Source organism: Homo sapiens, chromosome 4 (assembly GCF_000001405.40).
Source record: "Homo sapiens chromosome 4, GRCh38.p14 Primary Assembly".
Taxonomy (NCBI): Eukaryota; Metazoa; Chordata; class Mammalia; order Primates; family Hominidae; genus Homo; species Homo sapiens.
Genome location: NC_000004.12, coordinates 102,495,150 through 102,516,585, shown reverse-complemented (window position 1 = coordinate 102,516,585; position 21,436 = coordinate 102,495,150). Strand labels below are relative to the sequence as shown.

General features: G+C 38.7%; 1 protein-coding gene and 1 long non-coding RNA gene across 11 annotated transcripts in view, besides 3 other annotated features; one reads left to right on the top strand and one right to left on the bottom strand.

The window, feature by feature from the left end:
- The window catches only part of NFKB1 (nuclear factor kappa B subunit 1), a 115,944-nt gene extending 100,717 nt beyond the window's left edge, over positions 1 to 15,227 (bottom strand). For 3 of the 10 annotated variants that reach the window (NM_001382626.1, XM_024454069.2, NM_001382627.1), the window contains exons 1-2: positions 14,798 to 15,227; positions 5,637 to 5,706 (exon numbers count right to left, since the gene is read on the bottom strand). Coding sequence is in view for 1 of the 10 variants with exons in the window: in XM_024454069.2 (XP_024309837.1) it covers positions 5,637 to 5,653 (17 nt within the window). In the remaining 9 variants the exon portion in view is untranslated. Of the gene's footprint in view, positions 1 to 1,380; positions 1,388 to 5,636; positions 5,707 to 14,413; positions 14,653 to 14,797 lie in introns of those variants that run through there. The other 7 variants (NM_003998.4, NM_001165412.2, NM_001382628.1 and 4 more) reach the window with 4 other exon arrangements.
- NFKB1-AS1 (NFKB1 antisense RNA 1) overlaps positions 14,100 to 21,436 on the top strand; it is an 83,885-nt gene continuing 76,548 nt past the window's right edge. Inside the window, exon 1 of the long non-coding RNA NR_136202.1 lies at positions 14,100 to 14,147. This is a non-coding gene — a long non-coding RNA (NFKB1 antisense RNA 1). The remainder of the gene's footprint in view (positions 14,148 to 21,436) is intronic.
- Positions 14,548 to 14,597: an enhancer, noted in NCBI's record as "active region_21753". NCBI's record gives its function as "activates an Ori minimal core promoter by ATAC-STARR-seq in GM12878 lymphoblastoid cells {active_cell/tissue: GM12878}" and the evidence as "EXISTENCE:reporter gene assay evidence [ECO:0000049][PMID:35858748]".
- Positions 14,708 to 15,277: a silencer, noted in NCBI's record as "silent region_15597". NCBI's record gives its function as "represses an Ori minimal core promoter by ATAC-STARR-seq in GM12878 lymphoblastoid cells {active_cell/tissue: GM12878}" and the evidence as "EXISTENCE:reporter gene assay evidence [ECO:0000049][PMID:35858748]".
- Positions 15,288 to 15,547: a silencer, noted in NCBI's record as "silent region_15596". NCBI's record gives its function as "represses an Ori minimal core promoter by ATAC-STARR-seq in GM12878 lymphoblastoid cells {active_cell/tissue: GM12878}" and the evidence as "EXISTENCE:reporter gene assay evidence [ECO:0000049][PMID:35858748]".

The following is a 21,436-nucleotide window of genomic DNA, read 5'->3' as shown; positions in this document are numbered from 1 at the left end:
AAAAAAAGAATGGAAATTTTAGAACTGAAATGAAATTTCACTAGATGGACTTAGCATATTTAACATTATAGAAGAAAGTACCAATAAACTAGAAGAAAGGTCAATAAAAACTACCCAAACTGAATTACAGAGAAAAAAAGGTAGAAAGAAGTGAACACAGCTTCAGTGACCTACAGGACAATATTAAGCAGTCTTACGTATTTGTAACATAGAATCCCAGAAACAGAAAAAAGACAGAAAAAATATTCAAAAAAATAACAGTTGAGAATTTTTATAAATTTGATTTTTAAAAAATCAACCCACAGATCCAAGAATCTCAAAGATCTCTCTGCTGGATAAAGACAAATAAAACCATGGTTAGGCATATTACAGCCAAACTGTTAAAAACTAATGCTAGAGAAAAAAAAAATCCCAAAATAGCAAAGGACAAGAAAGGACATATTATATATGGGGGAACAATTGATAAGCATGATAAGCATGATGTTTCTGATGATCATTAGATACAGTACAAGCTAGAAGGCAATGTAAAGGCACCTTTACAGTGATAAAAGAAAAAAAAAGATTGGTCCAGAATATTCAGCAAATAAATCTTTTAAAAATAAAGGTGAAATTGACATTTTCAAGTAAACAAGAGCTAAGAGTATTCATCACCAGCAGACCTGCTAAAAGACATGCTAAAAAGAAGTTCTTCATGCTGAAGGGAAATGATAGACACTTGGACCTGTATGAAAGAATAAAAAGCATCAATAATGATAAATATGTGAGTAAGCAGAAGACTTTTATTTCTTCTTTCTTAATTTCCTAAACAGACGATTGACTGTTCACAGCAAAACAAGACAATATATTTTGGAGTTTATAACATATAAAGAAGTAAAATGTATAACAATAACAGCACAGAAGGACAAACAGAAGTATAACATTGTCAAGTTCTCACATTAATTAGAGACTCAAAGATGCATATTGTAATAAACAAATACTTTTCTAAAGTGGTAAAGTAACCACTTTAGAAAGTAACCAATGAAGGAGATAAAATGGAATTTAAAACACTAAACTTGATTTATTCAAAGGATGGCAGGAAAGGAGAAAAAAAAGAATAAAGAAGAGATAGCACAAATAGATAATTAATTACCAAGATGAGAGACTTAAACCCAACATACCAGTAATAATATTACATGGGGCCGGGCGCGGTGGCTCACGCCTGTAATCCCAGCACTTTGGGAGGCCGAGGCGGGCGGATCACGAGGTCAGGAGATCGAGACCATCCCGGCTAAAACGGTGAAACCCCGTCTCTACTAAAAATACAAAAAATTAGCCGGGCGTAGTGGCGGGCGCCTGTAGTCCCAGCTACTTGGGAGGCTGAGGCAGGAGAATGGCGTGAACCCGGGAGGCGGAGCTTGCAGTGAGCCGAGATCCCGCCACTGCACTCCAGCCTGGGCGACAGAGCGAGACTCCGTCTCAAAAAAAAAAAAAAAAAAAAATAATAATAATAATAATATTACATGGAACTGGACTGAACTCATCTAGAAGACAGAGATGATCAGACTGGATTTTTAAAAAACAAGATTAAAGTATACGCTTTTCATAAGAATTGTACTTTAATATTAAAGACACAGTTTAAATGTATGAAGATGGTACACTGGGCTAGTTATATCATGCAAATGCTAAATATAAGAAAAGCAGGCTACATTCTAAAATATCAGATAAAGTAGACTTCAAGAGAATAAACATTACCAGGGACAAAGAGGAACATTGCATATAAGAATCAAAGGGCCAACTCATCAAAGAAAAACAATGATCTTATTGTGTACGCACCTATTAACAAAGCTTCAAAATACATGAAGCAAAAACGTGGCAGAACTAATGGAAAAAATGACAAATCCACAATTACAGTTAAGATTTTTAACATTCCTCTCTCGGTAATTGATCAAAGCAAATCAACAGAGTGTCAGGAAATGTCTTAGTCTGTCAATGCTGCTATAACAGAATAGCTGAGACTGGGTAATTTATAAAGAGCCCAGGTTTATTTCTCACAGTTCTGGCAACGGGAAGCCCAAGATCAAGGCACCAGCATTTGGTATCTGGTGAGGGATGCATCCTCTAGAGGGGAGGAATGCTGTGTCCGCAACTGGCAGAGGGCGGAAAGGCAAGAGGAGACAAATTTCCTCCAGCAAGCCCTTTTAAAAGGGCACCTAATCCCATCACTTCTTACAGGCTCTACCTTTTCCTACCATCACATTGGTCATCCTGTTTCAACACCTGAATTTGGTGGGGACACATTCAAACCATGGTAGGAAAGATATAGAAGGCTTAGGAACAAAACTGTCAATCAAAAGAACCTAGTGTGTCTACAACACCCCACTGAATGATTTTAGAGTCCACATTATTATTATTATTATTTTCTTTTTTTTTTTGAGATGGAGTCTCGCTCTGTCACCCAGGCTGGAGTGCAGTGGCGCCATCTCGGCTCACTGCAAGCTCTGCCTCCTGGGTTCACGCTGTTCTCCTGCCTCAGCCTCCTGAGTAGCTGGGACTACAGGCGCCCACCACAACGCCTGGCTAAGTTTTTGTATTTTTTTAGTAGAGATGGGGTTTCACCGTGTGAGCCAGGATGGTCTCGATCTCCTGACCTCATGATTTGCCTGCCTCGGACTCCCAAAGTGCTAGGATTACAGCCGTGAGCCACCGCGCCCGGCCCAGAGTCCACATTATTTTTAAATACACACGGAATATTCACGAAGATAGACCACGTCCCGAGCCATAAAGTAAGTCTCAATAAATTTCAAAGAATTGAAAGCATGCGGAATATGTTATCTAAATACAGTGGAATTAAATCAGAAACCAGTGATAGAAAAATATCCCCAAAAAATCCTGAAATGTATATAATTAAACAAAACTGTTAAATTGGGGGAGAAAAAAGTGCCTCTTAGAATCAATAGACTGTAGAATACATAACCTCACCCCCCTGAAAGAAGCATCTAAATTATTGCTGTATCATATTCACTATAATCATGGGGGACAGGGATTTTCTTAGAGAAGTGATTAGAATGCATTCCAACGTGTTCCATAAGAAAGAAATTTTTGCCTATGGTTGTCTTCTTAATCATAGCTGACTGAAATTCATAAGATCAAAAGATGTTTTGGGCATTTTAAAATTATATTGTAATTAAGAGTAATTTATATCATACTCAAGTAAAATTTATTTTTATTAATACTATGTTAGGACAAATTCTGCCAAGAATAACTTGTAGAGCTAGAGAAGTTCTCTAAGGATTATAATAAGTTAGATAAAACCTTAAATGTTATAATTAAAGTCACTCCTGAGATATTGCTGCCTACCATTTCCACATAAAAACTGCTTCAATACCTCTGTTCATGGTGTGAGGTCTTTCATTCAGATGGCATTATAAAGGGACTTGACATACTGGACTTTGTTCTGACCTTTTGCGTCTACATTTCTAATGCTACAGTTTTCTTCTTCCCTAAAAACATAGTATCACAGAATTTTAATTTTGATATATAGCCTCTGCCTTGAGTACCATTTTGGAATATTCATATTTTCAGACTGAGGAAGAAGTAGACCTCATGCATTATGAATTAGAGATTAGTATTCTTTTGTTCAAATACAGAGAAACTGATCCAGTTCTCTTGAATCTGAATATGACTTTAGATTTTTATTCTATTAATCCTCAAAAATCCATAAAAATATGTCCTTTATGTTTTAAAAGAAAAAGAGTCATTATGTGAACCAGCAATGTTTGGTCCTATGAACATGGGTACAATCACCCTGGAGGGACAAAGGGTTCCTTTGAAGAAATAATCACGGCGAAGGCCTTCCGATTACACATACACAAATATAATAATTTGCAAGCCATCAAAATCAGGCTCCATGAAGCCCTTTCTACACTGACCACTCATACAGATAAACGCTTTAACATATACATGGCTGGGTGTGGTGGCTCACACCTATAATCCCAGCACTTTGGGAGGTCCAGGTATTTGGGGACAAGCCTTGGCAACATAGGGAGACCCCATCTCTACAAAAATTTTAAAAAGTAAAATAAAATTAAAATTTTGCCAGGTGTGGTGGTGCATGCCTGTAGTCCCACCTACTTGGGTGGCTGAGGTGGGAGGATAGCTTGGGACCAGGAAGTCGAGGCTGCAGTGAGCCATGATTGCGCCACTGCATTCCAGCCTGTGTGACAGAGCGACACCACATCTCAAAACAAACAAACAAAACAAAACAAAACAACACACATACAGATGTCAATGTATAAACTGAGTGGGGAGAAATAGGTGAACTATACCTCTCTCTTCTATGTCTGATAACATCAGATGTGAATACTTCTTTCTCCCATGTCTCTGTCAGTGACCCTGGCTACTTGGTATTAAGCAAAATATTTACTTTTACATTCATAAGTAATAAGTAAATGAGAATGTAATCTGTTTTCTATTTTTTACTAACAACTGAGGAAAAACAGTATTTTGTTTAGTGAGGAATATCTGAAATGAACTGAGCTTAGAGCCCAACTGACACAGCAGAGTTCCCGCTGGTGTGAAGCTCATTATTAGCACCTTGGAATAATGAATTCATTCAGTCAACGCTCCATTGTCTATGTGGATATATATGAGTCACAGAATTGACATACATATAATCCAAAAGTTGTTTGTGAAATCTTTTAAATGACAGTGGAGGGAAGGGGTCCTAACTAAGAAAGGGCAGATAGGATGCTTTTGCAGTGCTGCCAGTGTTCTATTTCTTGACCACCCACTAGGTTAAACGTGTTCACCTTGAGATAAATCACTAAAGTTGCAGCATTAATATTTGTGTACTTTTTTAGCTATGGGATTCTTCAACTTAAAAAAGGCTAATGTAAAAATAAAGTTTCTCTTTCTATTTTTTTTTTCCTTTTTTGAGACAGTCTTGCTTTGTTGCCTAGACTGGACTGCAGTGGCACAATCGCTGCTCACTGAAGCCTCAACCTCCCAGGCTCAAGTGAACCTCCTACCTCGGCCTCCTGAAGAGCTGGGACCACAGGCATGTGCCACCATGCCCAGCTAATTTTTAAATTTTTTGTAGAGACTGGGGTCTCGCTATTTTGTCCATGCTGGTCTCAAATTCCTGGGTTTAAGCAATCCTCCCTTCTCGGCCTCCTGAAGTACTGGGATTACAGATATGAGCCACTACGCCCAGCAAGAAAATTTTAAAAACTGAAAAGACTACATGATTTAAGCTCCATGAATTTCTGGATTTCTGTCTTGTTTGGCACTGTGTGCCTTGTCCTTAGAACTGTGTCTGGCACATAGAAAGGACTCAACATATATTCAAATAAATCACTGTTAAAGAAATAAAACCCTACTTATGTTAATCAGCTTGATTTAATCATTTCACAATGCATATGTATATCAAAACATCATCTTGTGTACCATAAACATATATAATTTCTGTCAACTGTACTATACTAAAGCTGGAGGTCAAAAAAAAGGAAGGAAAAAATAATAAAAAAATAAAAATCACACTATACGAAGATGGAAGAGCTTCTATAAACAAGCAATGCTTCCCCTACTCCACCCCTCCTCATCTCCAATCCTGCTTTTTAAAGGCTGACTTTTTAACACTCTTTTTCTTTTTAGTTTACCTGGTGGTTCTTTTCATATCTCCAAGATATGCTTCTGTCTTTTTTCTTGATGTAGGACGTTGTGTTCCTTCTAGGAAGGAACAGAGGAGGATTCAGCTCATACTACCACCACCTCCCCTTCTTCTCCCTCCAAATATAGTTATAATTAGTGAGACCTTGAATCAATCTAGCATTTAAATATTAAACTTTACATTCAATTTTTGTCTCAAGTTTTCCATAAATTTCTTTGGAGAAATATGAATGCGAGAGACTGAATAATAATGAAAAAATGCAACACCAGAAACATCTGGATTTGAGAAAGAACCTACACTGAGACCAAAAATTATAACTTATTATCGACAAAATGGGCAGTTCCTCATATTATCATACTGATAATCAAGAATTGGCTTGGTACTTACTCACATGCATTTTTCTTAAGTTGACCTATCTTGATATGGCAAGAAAATCTGAAGTCTTCCAATTAATACAATTACATCAAAGAAACACATAATTTTAGAGAGAGATGCTCATTTTGTCAAACCTCATTTTTTTTACAGAACAAAAATAAGACTCAGAGAAGTTAATTAACTTGCTCAGAGCCACACAGTTAATTGGCAGCACTGTCTCTTGATATCTTGTTCGGTATTTACTTATTCAGCAAACACACCAGGTGCTGTGCAAATAAAAAGTAAATAAGATGAACTCCTTGCCCTCAAGATGTTTCTTTTCTAGGACCCACAGGAATTCAGGAGAACACAGAATGGGGGCACATAACTCTTTATGGAAAGGGGAGGGAGAAAACAGAAAGGCAAGTGAGAGAAATGGTGATGCTCAAACCAGGCCTAAGGGTTTAGAAGTTAGCAGGATGGCTAGGAAAGAAAAGGCACTTCTCATACAGGGAGGGCATAAGCAAAGGCATTCAAAGTCAGAAACTGTGGATAGGAAACTGAAAGTCGGTGTGGAGGATTTGAGATTAGGGGATGGTTGGGGAACACCGGAGGGAGTAAGGGGGTGAGGTGTGCGAGAATCAGCTTGTGAAGACAACTGGGATTCACTGCAGAGACATGATCCGATTTACACTTTAGAAAGCTGACCATTATGCGAAATGAACGATGGGTTAGAAGCAGGAGACAATGCAAAAATAAAATCTAGAAATTCAACGAGGAAGGGATGGATTCTGGAGATGAGGAGGCTGCCTTGATAGAACTTGGTGACTGACTGAAGAAGAAAGCTGAATGTATAAGAAGGGCTTCTAGATTTCTGGCATGAGAAATCTACTGAATGGACCCTAACAGGCTAACAACCGCATTCCCTAATGTGCTGGGGATACCAATCTGTGCAAAGGGGTGGGGATCAAGGATGATGAGAAATTTAATATTGGCATATAGATGTGAAGATACTTAAGTGCCTCAGCAATAAAATCATTTCTGTAGCTTGCCTTGAATGACTGGACTCCTACAGTTCAACAGATACTCAGTAAATATAGCACAATTACTCCAAAAGTCATCTATTTCAACACAGGATTGAACTACCTCTCTAAGCAACTTGGATTGACTCCTATTTGGCTATTACAGAAGACTTTCTAAGAGAAATGGGATACTTCCCCACCCATCACAAAAAAAGAATTGTAACTGCAGGGTAAATGATTATGTAATGGTTTAAAATAGGAAATATTTTTAAAGTTTCTAAGGATTGCTTTTTAAATTTGGTTAAATGTCTTAAATGGGAAATCGAGTAAATATATAAAGAGACACCATAAAGACATTATCTCAAATTAACGCTATGATATGGTATGAGAGTGAGTAAATGCATTTGACTATTGTTGGACTGCTGTGCTTTTGATTTTAATTTCCCAGGTACTTATATTTGCTTGATCGCAACTGACTTCTAAAGTGTTTTTTCATAATGTGGTGAAAAGTCCATTCTTACCAGTTTAGCAAAAATATGATAATCCATTATGAAATGTCTGCCGAAAGGTTCTATCCAAGGGCAATCTCTCTTACTTCTTTCATTATGACCCTCCATGAGATGAGATATACAATTTATCTCATTGTATTTCTCAACCATGAGATATATGATTTGTCCTTTTATTTATAATTCTCATTCACTTTCTAGATTATTCTATCTTCACATTCAAGTTGATAACAAAGTTTAAGTCTTAGTTTTATAGAGGACTCTTCCCCCTAAATCTTTATGCTTTCATTATCCTTTGCTTTGACCAATCTTTCAAAAGACTCAGGTTTAAAATCACATACACATATACAAACGATGCTTAACCTATTCACCTTATCATGTATTAGCAGTATAATAAATGAATGCATTAAATGAATAGGGTAGAGAAATGGCTATATTTTTGGTTCATTTTAAGCCATCTCCTCTGAAAAGTAGTTCCCCAGGTTTTTTGCTTGGTTTGAAATTAGCAGTATGAACACACTAAAAATTTTTTTCCTATTTCCTAGATTGTATATTCAGTTTTCAGTTTTGATTTTACGTAAATCAATTGCTGATTTAAGTACTTTCCTGACTATCCAACTGAGCAAAAAATTAAGTGTAATTTAATTTTAATTCTTAACATTGCTTTCAACTTCTAATTTCCTCTACATAAATAGCCACCCACACATGCTTCTTCCATCATTCCACATCATCATCATTTTAATTTTATAAATCATGAAGGTTCTTGTATTATATGCAGATGCTATAAATTGTAAGGTATTCTCCTCTGGCCTCATTACCAAGTCCATACCCCATTTAAAAGAAAAAGACACTGAAGGTTATAGATCAAGTCTTAACAGTCAAACACCAATACATGTTTAAGCCTTACAAAATAAGCCTATACTTAAGAACTGGTAGACAAAGAGGTTCTTCAAATATCAATAAAACATGATTTGGGAATTTGTGTTAAAACATCCAAAAATAGTTATTTTCTCATTCCTAAAATTCTTGTCATGGAAGACATATTTTCTAAGACAATTAAGTAATCTATTTTCACTATTTAAATGAACTGCAGGCTTGGGCTTAGAACCAATAAATAGGTTGATTAGGGAGTCTGTCATCACTTTTATGTTTTCTTTTTTACATACTTGTTATATGGTAGAATTGACGTCTGGGATAAAGAGGGATAGGTGTGCCCTAACACTGAAATATGGTATAGTATTTTCAGTCCAAATGACATGATAAATAATAAAAATAATTTTTTGAAATAACTGCTTTTAACAAATAAAAGTCATTAAAAACAAATTGCTTTTTAAAATGGGACATTATAGAGGTATGCTCAACTTTATGCAGGTCTTATACTTTCTTTAGTTCAAGTTAGTGAAAAGTAAATCCTAGAAATATTAGTGAGCCTCATTTATCAAAAAGGTTCACCTTGGCCAAGCTAGGTGGCTCACGCCTGTAATCCCGGCACTTTGGGAGGCTGAGGCGGGTGGATCACTTGAGGTCAGGAGTTTGAGACCAGCCTGGCCAACAGAGCAAAATCCCATCTCTACTGAAAAAAAATAAAAAATAAAAAATAAATTACAAAAAAAAGGTTCATCTCAAAGAAAAATCTAATAGCTTTATTTTCCAATATGAAATGCATGAATTGTCCATACATTTCTACTAGTAGCGTAAGGATTATAACAAAGTTAGAGCCTTGTTTGTTTTGTTTATGCTTCTCTTCATGCCCAGAAGCTGCAGACTGAACTCGTAAGGGAACACACAAAAATTTATCTTTTTCTGGAAGCCATCTCATGGGGAAGTCACAGGCAGAGTGCCTGGATTATTTTATTATTTTAACAAACACTGCCGCTATTAATCTTCGGAGTACTTTTCAACAATGACGGCTTTACAGTGCAATTGTTATAGATGTTAACATTTAATTTCTTTCTCATTTTGCTGGCAACAACAAAAAATATTATATATACATATTTGTAACTAATATATATTAAATATAATTATATTAGTTACAAATATGTATTTATACATATATCATTATATTTAATATACATATTAGTTACAAATATGTATATATATAACCTTTTTTGTTGTTGCCATATCTGTATATGTAACTAATATATATCAGTATATTTAATATACACATTAGTTACATATATATGTAACTAACTTTTAACTTAATTTTTAAACTTGAATGTTTGTTGTGAGTGATGTGAGGGGAGATCAGGGTCAGAACCAGAACTAAGTGGCAGCAAAGCAGAATGAACTGAAGTGAGCAGCGCTCAATAAAATGGTTGTTTTCCCACAGGACTGCATTAGGGTTCCCAGGGGGCACAATGACACTAGGACAGGGAGTATTGGCATTTTGCTCTTTTCTAGTCTAAATGGTATATTTCATTTAAAAAACTGTGTCCACAAAAAAATAAATGGTTCAATTCAGAAATTCAAGGCCAACTTTTAAAAAATGCTACAACTGAAAAATAATGAACAAACTGTGCTAGGATGAGGCCCCAGCTTCTATAGTGTTGGAAAAATCATTAAAGTATGAAAGTGGAAAGTACAGTAAACCCTGCTAACTGCCTGCTTGTTCCTGAGGTTTGCCATCTAGTAACTTTTAACAGTCACAGATTTATGGGTGATAGGTGTTTAATTCTAGAGGTAACATAACAAAATAACATATTTTGTTTTAACTTTTTGGTTGATTAATTTAGATAAGTGTTAACAATTCTTAGATTACCAAGCAGTGCTTGTAGCATTGTTTCTTTTTTGGAGGTATTAGTATTTGATATTACAGTTTCAATGGAGTGTACAGAAATTCTAACTTCACCAAAAAATTACATTTTTCAATTTTACAAGCACCTTTTATCATTCCAATTACTTTATAATCTTGCTCTGGTGCCTCTAAAACTTTGAAACTAAAAGGCATTTTTTTTCTAGTTCATAAATGCCTCTTTCAGAATGAAATGTTCCCCTTTTGGAAGGCGCCAGATACTTTTTAATAAATTATTTGTTCTAGTAAACTTCAAGTGGTCTTTAGATAAGATTTCCATAATATCTAAGACACAAGGACTATTTTGTGCTCCTTTCTTTCCAGAAGGCAAAGCAAAATAATGTAATTTTTGTTCCTTATAGAAGATGGCTGTCCATTTAAAAAAAAATTTTGCAACAACTTCATATCATTCATTCATTTAACAGTTAATGATTGCTTACTATGTACCAACAAGTACAATGCTAAGCATCAGATATTTCTTTCGTCAGTATTGATTAGATATTATTTATTTTTAGTTAAACTAGAGTATTTGATTCTCTCAAACAGCTTTTTCTTTATTTCATTTTTTATAATTTTGGCTATTTTAAAGAATAAATTCTTTTCTAAAGCTTAAGCAGTCAAAATTTGTCACAGTTTAAACTAATAGGATCCATAGATGAACTCAAGTCTGTTGATATCTACTGAAGGCATGGGTCAAAATAAAAGCTATTTTAAGGTTTCTGGATTAATGGTGAAAGATGAATGAAAAATAATAAGGCAATTTGTAATGGATAATTAAACCAAATATATCATTATTCTAATTTCAAAAACAGGCAATAAATTAAAGCAGATGAAATTTGTATTACTGATAATTAATTCTGTTTGTTACTACAGAAAATATGACACAATAAAAATTGTTTTCTTTTTAAAATGTAAAATGCACTATTTTTATTATTAGTACTCTAAATTAAACAAATATTTTCATCCATAATCTATCTTCTGAGATTTCTATAATCTTTAACAAATCACATCTTATGTGACTCTTATTCTGTACAGAACTGTCAGGCTTTAAATTATTTGAGGTGTAGCAATGCAATTTGCACAACTTATTTTCTAAACTGTTGGCTGATCTTCAAGGCCAGGTCAACAACCTCCGGAAATGTAAAAGACAGTATATTAATTTGCACCCAGGAACAACCCCTAATACAGCAGAGACCAAAGGTATGAAGCAATTTCATCATCATTAAAAGAATGTTACTACTTTTTTCTCTTTTTTTCTTCTAAAAGTGAGGCACTGGATACTAATTAATGAAATACTACAAAGATAAAAGGCTTGGTTATGTTACCAGAACTATTAACTGTCCAAATTATGTGGTTTCAAATATTAATCTTTTTTGATTAAAAAAATTCACAGTCAAGGAGCCAAACTGACTTGCAGGACTATGCCAAAACGTTCAAACCTTTCTCCCTGAGGCTGAGTACCTTCAGTTCTTCCAAACTGTCTGTCTCCAAAGTAGTGACAAAATTCAAAGAGAGATCATATGCTCTTGATGGTTTATTGCTGACCTCTAAGAACACTACAAGTGAGTTCAGTATTTATGGGAGGTGCAAGAGTGCAAATGAGAACTAATTCCCAAAAAGCAGAGTAAATTGCTCCAGTATGGTCTACTGTTTACCAAGACGTAGTCATCAATTAATGCTGATTAGACACAAATGTAGATGTAGGAGCAGAACATCTTAACATATCCTCTAGCACTAACTTCTATTTTTCCTTCTCCTTCTCTTCTAATATAACAATCCCACTACTGTAGACAATTCACCTTGTAAACAGAAAACCAACAGACCAACCGAATAAAACAAACTTCCTACTAAAAGTAAGAAAATTAATGAGAAATTTTGCATAGACATCCATTCCTGTTAATGTGATTTCTGATCAATCTGTGGACCAGAAGAGCATAATCTGAGAATTTACTCTATTGGTTATACAACAGTACTGTGCATTTCCAGATACACTTCCTACTGCAGTCAATTCTATACTCAGAATAGCACATCTACTAAGACCCGAAGATGCAAAAGATGACATTTTGAGTACTTCATCAAAAATCCATACAGCAACTCAGATACAATTATTTTACTGTTTGAAAATATCGACTACTTTTCTTACTTCTCCCAAGTTCAAACCAATTGAAGGTTATGAAGTAACCACTTCCCCCCAGAAGCCAGAACTTTCACCTCTTCTGAACAGAGAAATACCTCTCATAAATTAGGTAAAAATAAGGTCTTGCTGATGGAATGATAGTCCAACATTCATGTAGCTGCCAATTCCCTATCTAGACCTCGTATCTACCACAATGAGCAATCCCTGAAAGTCAAGGTAGTAACTTACTTAATCAATTATCTGCAAGTCTAAAAGTGTAGTTAAAACAACCTGCATAAATATTAGTTTCTCAAACTACTTCAATTTGTTTCCAGGAACAGTAACAACAGAAATGTAAGGAATATAATCACTAAATCTAAAATTCTGCCTATTTCAGATTAATTGTGCTTTAATCAACTCAATCAACACAGATCTTGTTTAAGAGGTAGAGTAAAAAGGAAGTGCAAAGATCAAAGCAATGCTTACAAAGGGGAAGGACTATTTTTGTATGTATACCCCCAGTATTTACTATCTGGGTTTGAAAAACACGGGCATTTACTCAGCACAAGTGAGTGCCAATGCCTAACATAAGAATGAAATTTCAGCAAAAAGATAATAGATTTTCACATCACCACCAACCCCTAAAAGGATTATACTACCTTCTTTAAAAAGTCTCAAAGAGTTTAGAAGTGGTTTGCTTTTCACTGCAAGCAGCTTTTCGGTTCCAGTATTAAATGTACATATAACGTGTGTTCCTTTGTGTTCAAGTTTGTCCAGTAGGCTGCAGCCCAGGAAGACATTTTATCTAAACAAGCAGGGGAGGGCATTTAGGAATTGCAGGTGTATCAATATGGATGAATAATCTCAGATTCCAAGTCTCCATTAATCGTACATGTTCTTTCCATTTTAGCAATTCAATTAAATCATGAATGTAAAATTCTACAGGAAACAAATCTTTTTATTTCCTGTCTTCCCAAGTTTATAAACTCAAAAAAGTACATTGCTTCAAATTTAAATACATACATTTAAATACATAATTCCTATAGTGCCTCAAACAGTAAAAGGATTCATCTCTAGAAAGCACAATATTAAAATCAGAAAAACAACATACTTTAGTTTTAAGTTTCCCTTTTAAAGTTTTAACAAACACGAATGCAGTTTAAACTGCTTGACAATATTCAGTTGTGGGATTCTGCTAGAAAAAAATTATTGAATATCTTGACCCTAACCTTTACTATTTACTAAAAGATCACCAGTATGTAGAATATTTTGATGCCAGAGCTATTAAATGTTTTAGTAATACCATAAGCATTTTTTCAGATTATGAGCTTTATAAAAAAATCTTTGAGTTAAATATGGTTATTTCATAAACTGTAATGCTGAAAACCTCTACTTAACAAAGTCCATGAACATGTCAATCTTGATAATTAAATCCTGTATCATTAAGTCCCATTTGAGTTTCAGGATAAACCAGCAAGTCAGGGCAAACATTCCCTGGTGTCTGTTTTTAAGGACCATAGAAAAACTTGCATTTAGGATAGGCCTTGTTTTTACATTATTTTTGTTTCAGCGGTCATGCATAATGCATGGTGGCACTGTCCAAGAGTTTTACATAATCAAGTCTAAAAAGTGCTCTAAGTATCCAGGTAGGTAATTTATTTTCTCTCTCAAATGCCAGGCCCCGGAGGATCAGAATCAAGTCCTATAGCAGGTGACTATATCGTGTGTGTGTGTGTGTGTGTGTGTGTGTGTGTGTGTGCGCGCGCGCGCGCGCACGGAGGGGGGGAGGGGGGAGAGAGAGAGAGACAGAGAGCGAGCCAGGTTTCTTTTAGAAGTAGGAGAGGGATGAATAGACTCTCCTATTCAATTCTGGGGAGCTGGGGAGGGCTTTCCCAGCCAAGAGGACTGACAAGCACTTCTGCTTTCATTTCATGGAACGCCCTTAGGTGAAATCTGGTTCTGCACTGCACCAACCACCTTCCCTCTCTCCTCCGCGCCGCAGCGCACTCCAACCTTCTCACCATCCCCCAGGTGGGGCTGGGGTTGGGGATTTTAAAAGTTTGTAAGAGTTCCCCTCCGGTTCGCGTTCCCGCCCCGCGGAGGGACGTGAAGAGAAATGACCGCCGGGCGGCCGCGGCCCTTCGGCCGACTAGCCCCTGCGAGGTCCGGATGTGTCTTTCCCCGCTGTCGCTAATCCCATGTGCCTCTCAGCTACTGTCAACCTCCTCCCACGGTCTAGCCCAGCGGTTAGCGCAGGAATGAGGAAGTCCGAGTGGGGCTGGAGGGGGTGCGGAGGGCTGGGCGGCAGGACTTGGGCCACGCGTCCCCTGCCGGGCCCCCACTCGCCCGAGTTTGGCTTACCCGGGTGGCGAGTCCGCGTTCGGCCTCCTGGCGCGGGTGGGCTCTCCCTCCTAAGCGGCGCGGGCCTGCCGGCTGGAGAAGGAAGAGGCGGCGGCAGGCCGGAGCCCGGGCGGGCCCGAGTGCGGGTCGGGGCGAGCGGGAGCGCGGCGGGGCCGGGCCAGGCCAGTCAGCGCCGCGCCATGGCCGCAGCGCGGGCGGAGGGAAGCGCAGGGCGCGCGGTGGCCGGGCGGCGGCGCCGCCTTACTGGCCGGGCGGCTGCGGCCTCGGCGGCGCTGGGCTCCGGGAGCGGGGCCGGTGGCTGCGTGCAGGCCGAGGGCTGCGGCGGCTGGCGGCCCGACCGACGGGAAGGGCAGGGGAAGCTGTCAGCGCGTCGCCGGGCCGCTCCGGTGGCGAAACCTCCTCTTCCTGCCCCGGCTCGCTGGTGCACTTCTCTCTCTTTCTGTCTCGCTCACTCTCTCACTTCCTGGCTGGAAATTCCCACTGACGTCGAGAGAGCATACAGACAGACGGACACACGCGCGCACGCAGCGGGGGCGGGAGGTAGGGTCGCTGCCGGGGGTGGGGGAAGCCCGCACTTCTAGGGGCGCTGTGCGCCCCCGGCCCGGCCTTGCCGCTCGCCTCGGCTCCCGCCCCTCGGGGCCGCTTCGGGGCGCCGGGCGAGGGGCGCGCGTTAGGCGGCCTGGACGCCGCGGCCCCTGCGGGGCTCTGGCTTCCTAGCAGGGCGCTCCCGAATCCCAAGGGCTGGAGCCGGTAGGGAAGCCCCCAGGAAGCGCCTGCCGGGCCCAATCAATGGTCGGGGAACGCAGGCAGCACGGAGGCGGCGGCGGTGGCAGTGCCGCTGATAGAGTCATGCGGTCCATAGCCCCTAAGGGCAGGCCCGAGCAGCTGGAGGGTCGGCATGGATCCAAGCATGCCAGATATAAAAATAAAGCTCATCTGTATATTCCATTTAAGCGTGTCTCAGTTACATTCACATCTCTTCACAGATTAAACTACAATTTCGTTATCATAAACGACTTGTGCCCAGTAAAGTATAACCCTCTACTGGTTTTTGGTGCGGTCTTAAATCTCCTGGTTATAGAGCAGTTACTCAGAATGTTCATCTACAAGGCATTGTTAGGCCTTTATGATAATTACTGTGGATAGAATTATAGTGATGGTGGTAGCAATGGTTTTGGTTCACAGCTCATAAAATACTGATCTGGCAGAGGGGAGTTTTCTTTTTCTCTGAAGAGACCGCTACTGGCACCCACTGACAGGCCTCCCAGTGGCCACCATTCACTGGCATCTGAGCTGCTTTAGTGCTGGGCACTGTATTAGGTACAGGCTGGGGATACCTTCGGGTGGATTACCTCCCCACATAAGAAAGCTTGAGCCGAAATATATATTTTAGAGCTCATTGTTTCACTACTGGGTGGAGTGACAACTGAAAGCTTAGCTTTAAAACATCAGTAATCAGGTCCTCACCAGGCAATATTGCAGTGGCATTTAGATTGCTTATGGCATGTTCATCCTAGTCCTTTCGTGCCCACTCTCCATCCTCCTCCTCCAGTAGGTTATAAAAACCTTCTTGGTGGAGTGTTTTTCTGGAAAAAAAAAATAAACAAAAAAAACCCACACACACAAAAACCCAGCGATCCATTTGATTGCCTATGAGGTGAGTCTCCGAGGCGACCTTGGAGGCCCCAACAGTCGACCTTTAAGTGATCTCATTTAGCTCCGGGAGGCTGAGCAGCTGGAATTTAGAGGATCCATAAAGACTGAACACAATGACTTTTTAAGAAATTCTGTGAGCCGGGTGCGGTGGCTCACACCTGTAATCCCAGCACTTTGGGAGGCCAAGGCGGGTGGATCCCCTGAGGTCAGGAGTTTGAGACCAGCCTGACCAATATGGTGAAACCCCATCTCTACTAACAATACAAAAAAATTAGCCGGGCGTGGTGGCGGGCGCCTGTAATCCCAGCTACTCCAGAGGCTGAGGCAGGAGAATCGCTTGAACCCTGGAGGCAGAGGTTGCAGTGAGCCAAGATTGCGCCACTGCACTCCAGCCTGGGCGAGACAGAGCGATACTCTGAGAAAGAAAGAAAGAGAGAGGGAGGGAGAGAGGGAGGGAGGGAGGGAGGTGTGAGCATACACACTCTACTTTTCATTCTGCAAGGGGTGGCAGCCCCATTACCAAAAGATAGATAAATACAATTGTTATAAGAGTAGAGCCAGTGTGACATATTTGGGAGTAAAAAATGAAGAGCGTTAATTACTGAAAAGGATTAAATCAAACTCCAAACTCAAAATGATTCCATAAAATGAACTTAAAATTCAGGGTAGGGTGTTGAGCAGGCATATTTTCCTGGGGCTGCTGTAAAAATTTACCACCGACTGAACAGCTTACAACGGGAATTTATTCTGTCACAGTCCTGGAGCCTAAAATTCTGAACTCAAGGTGCCATTAAGGCCATGATCCCTCTGAAGGCTCTAGGGAAGAATCCTTTGCCTCCTCCTAGCTTCTGGTAGCTCCAGCAATCCTTGCCATTCTTGGCTTGGCTGCAACACTCCATTCTGTGCCTACATTGTCACATGGTCTCCTTCCCCGTGTTTCCTTTGTGTCGCTATATTCAACTCTCCCTCACCTTTCTTTTATGAAGACACCAGTCATTGGATTTAGAGCCCACCCCAATCCAGTATTACCTCATCTTAACTTGATAACATTTGCAAAGATCCTAGTTCCAAATAAACTCATGTTCACAGGTACCTGTGGTTAGGACTTGAACATATGTTTTGGGGGGATGTAATTCCATGCAGCACAGCAGGCAAAACTATAAAAGCTTTTTGGCTTGCTGATTAACCCTCCTCCATTCCTGCTTTGTTACCCAACATTTTCTCTACACTGTACAAACCTGCTTCCAGGAATATCTCTTACAAATTCATCCATCCTAAGGTGTCAGAAGGTATTTGCCATTATCAGGCTACGAAGAGGAAAAAAATGCCTCAATGTGGAATTTCAGACATCAATATTGTCTAAAAGACAAGTTATTTTGTGTTTGTCACTTGTCTTAGTTCATTTGTGTTGCTATGGCAGAATACACAAGACTAGGTAGCTTATAATGAAAAGAGGTTTATTAGGCTCACAGTCTTCAGACTGTACAAGAAGCATGGCACCAGCATATGCGTCTGGTGAGGGCCTCAGGCTGCTTCCACTCAATGGAAGGCAAAGGCGGGTGGTGTGTGCAGAGAGATCGTATGGCGAGAGAGAGGGGAGAGATGCCAAACTTTTTAGCAACCAGCTCTCATAGGAACTAATGCAGTGAGAACTCACTCATCCTCTCCTCCTTGCAGGGAATAGCATCAATCTATTTGTGAGGGATCCACCTCCATGACCGAAACATCTCCCATTAGGCCCCACCTCCAAAATTGGGGTCACATTTCAACATGAGGTTTAGAGGAGACAAATACCCAAACCATAGCATCACTAAATCATTGAAACTACACAAATTTCCCTTCTCATGAAGCTATTTTGGAAATACCAGTGTGGAGAGAATTCTGAGGTTGAGATCTGTGTAGTGTGTTCATTGGCAATGAGAACATAGGAAAAGTATGTCTTCTTTTTAATTGCCTCTGAGTAAAGGTGACACAACACTTCTGCCCACATTCCATGGCCCCACTTAGATGCAAGAGAGCAGGGAACTACAGTTCTTCTGGTTGGTTAGGAGGTTGAAATAGGTCGGCTAAGCATATGGTTAATACCTGCTATACACGTATTCACTTATTTGGTTGTCAGTCATATAAAGTGGATCACCATTATAATCCCCATATTTACAGATGAAAAGTTGAATAATTTTCCTAAGGTTTCATAATTAGTAAATAGAAGGAGAGTCAGGATTTGAACCTAACAGATTTGGCTCCAGTGTGCATGATATTAACCACCACACTAAACTATTATCCAATGATATAAAAAGGAGCATGTAAGAGATTTTTAGAAGATGAGGTCAACAGGACCTGTTTATAGATTATATATGCAGTTTGAGTGAGAGGAAGACTCATAGATAGCTCTGAGTGTTCTAGTCTGAGTGATTAGAATAGTAACACTGTAACTGGGAAAAAATCTGTGGGAATGTAATGCATTCCCACATACCAAACATACATGTAACATGTAAACATACATATTTTAGACATGTTTAGTATGACAGATTTAGTGAGATGTCCATATGGAAATGACTAATAAATATGCAATTGAAAACTCAAGGCTGCTGCTCAGAGAGACATGGCGTTGGAAATGGAAACAACTGCAAAGATGCGATAGTTGTCAGGAGAGTGTTTCTAAAACATTAGTGGTCAAAGAGTTAGGAGACAAGGGGCTAAGTACAGGAATTCGAGGAATGACTTTATTTCTGGGGTTGGTATGAGAGAGAGATGCTTAAAAACTCCTGCAGTGCCATCAAAAGTGGGAGGAAAGCTCAGAAAGCCAGAGAAGAGAGAGTTTAAAGGGTATGAGAGCTCTCAACAGTGTCAGATACTGCAGACAGTTCCTAAAGGATGGAGAGGGGAAGAGACAGTTGACTTTGTGAATTATAAAATCCTAAGCCCGGCCTCGGGGCATGGCTGTGCAGCCAAGGGCAGAAACCAGTCTTTCTTCTGTTCACTCTGCTCGCTGTCTTGGAGGAAAAGGGAACTTTATTAACTCTCAAATAGCACTGATACGCAGTGGCTGTGGTCTTACATGACTTTTTCAGATGTGTTTCAATATAATGAGGAAAACCAAGAATGAGGAGACTGACAAGTGAGTGGGAAATGGGGAAACGAGGGCATAAGTGCAAAAGAATCTCACCAAGAGTTTGGAGTGAGAGGGAAGGAAAGAGGAGTTAGTGTGATTCTTCATTTATTTGACTAACACTTATGGAGTGCCAGAGTTAATGGAAGTTTGGAAAGGTGGAGAGATAGTTTAACGAGTTAATAGCGTTAATAACAGAAAGATTAATGAGGGAGCCGGAGCCAGAAGAAAGGAGACTGTGCGGAGCTCGTAATGTAGGTGAGGAGGCAGGAACAAATCTGCCTGTGTGAGATATGAGGAGGAAGAGTACAGAGAAGAGAGGCCCCAAGAAGAGGGGGAGGATTAGGCTATAATCATCAGCTGAAATACACTAAACCAAAAATGAGAATAAACCCTTAGAGAATGTGTTTGTTAGGGCTGCCAAAACAAAATATCTCAGACTGGGTGGCTTAAACAACAGAAATATTTTTTATCGTTCTAGAGACTGGAAGTTCAACAGCAATGTGTTGGCAGCATTGGTTTACTTGAGGGCTTCTCTCCTTGGCTTGCAGATGGCCATCTTCTCCCTGTCCTCATGTGGTTGTCCCTCTGTGTCCACGTCCAAATCATTTCGTCTTATAAGGACATCAGTCATATTAGATTAGGGCCCATCCCACTGTCCTCATTTTAACTTATATACCTCTTTAAAAACCCTATCTCAAAATCCAGTTACATTCTGAGGTACTGGGGGTTAGGACTTCAACATAGGAATTTCAGGGTGGGTGACATTATTCAGCCCATAACAGAGAGATATCTTTTAATGATTTCTATGAAGGCATGGAAATAGAGACTTAACTCATCCCGGTTGATCCAGGACTATCTTGCTTTTAGCACAGAGAGTCCCTTGCGCAGGAAACCCTCAGGCTCTAGTAAACCAGGGTGATTGGTCATGCTATATGAAGCCGACAAAACTGTTCTGAGTGAAATAAGGCTAGTTACTGGACATCATTGAGACAGCTGCCAATTACTTGTTTTTATGGAGGAGGTTTGCTTCTGTTTTCTGAAAGGTTGTATATCTGGCTGTCAAATCTATTCATAAGTGATGGTCTGACACTTATACATGCCTCTTTAATAAGATAAATATGGTTTTGCATATATATAACTCCTGATAAGCTTTTACAGAAATCTGAAAGAAATGTGAAATTATGTCATTTATTAATATATTGTTAATAAATACAAGTTATTAATATTAATATACTATATTTATTATATTAATAATGTTATATGATATTTACTTTATAACTATTGCAATATAAAATTAATATTTATATAATACCAATTATATAATTATTAATAATAATATAAAATAATAATTGTACACATCAATATATAATTATTGATTTATATATAAAGCTATATATAATTTATAAGTTATATAATTCTATATTATATAGAAGTCAATATATAATTTATTATATATTATAACTATTGTATATTATATATCATATACATTTATATATAATATATTGTTTATGTATAAATTATATGTTTAATAATATAATGATTATATTAACAATAACATTAATATATAATATTAATATTAATGTTTTTGTATATTAATATAATAAGCTTGGATTTTGGAAGCATGTTATATGGCTCCCTGGGTCTCAAGATTTGATGTTTCAACAGTTACATTCCTAGTCCATTATCTTTTGTAACATTTCCTCTCTTTCATTTTCCCTAGACTTGTTTTCTGGAATTTAAATTAGGTATATGTTAGATCTTCTCAATCTAATCTCTGTGTCTTTTAATATCTCTTATCTCTTTGGATTTCATTCTGGATAATTTCTTTATATTTGCCTTCTAGTTTATCAATTCTCTTTTCAGCTATATTT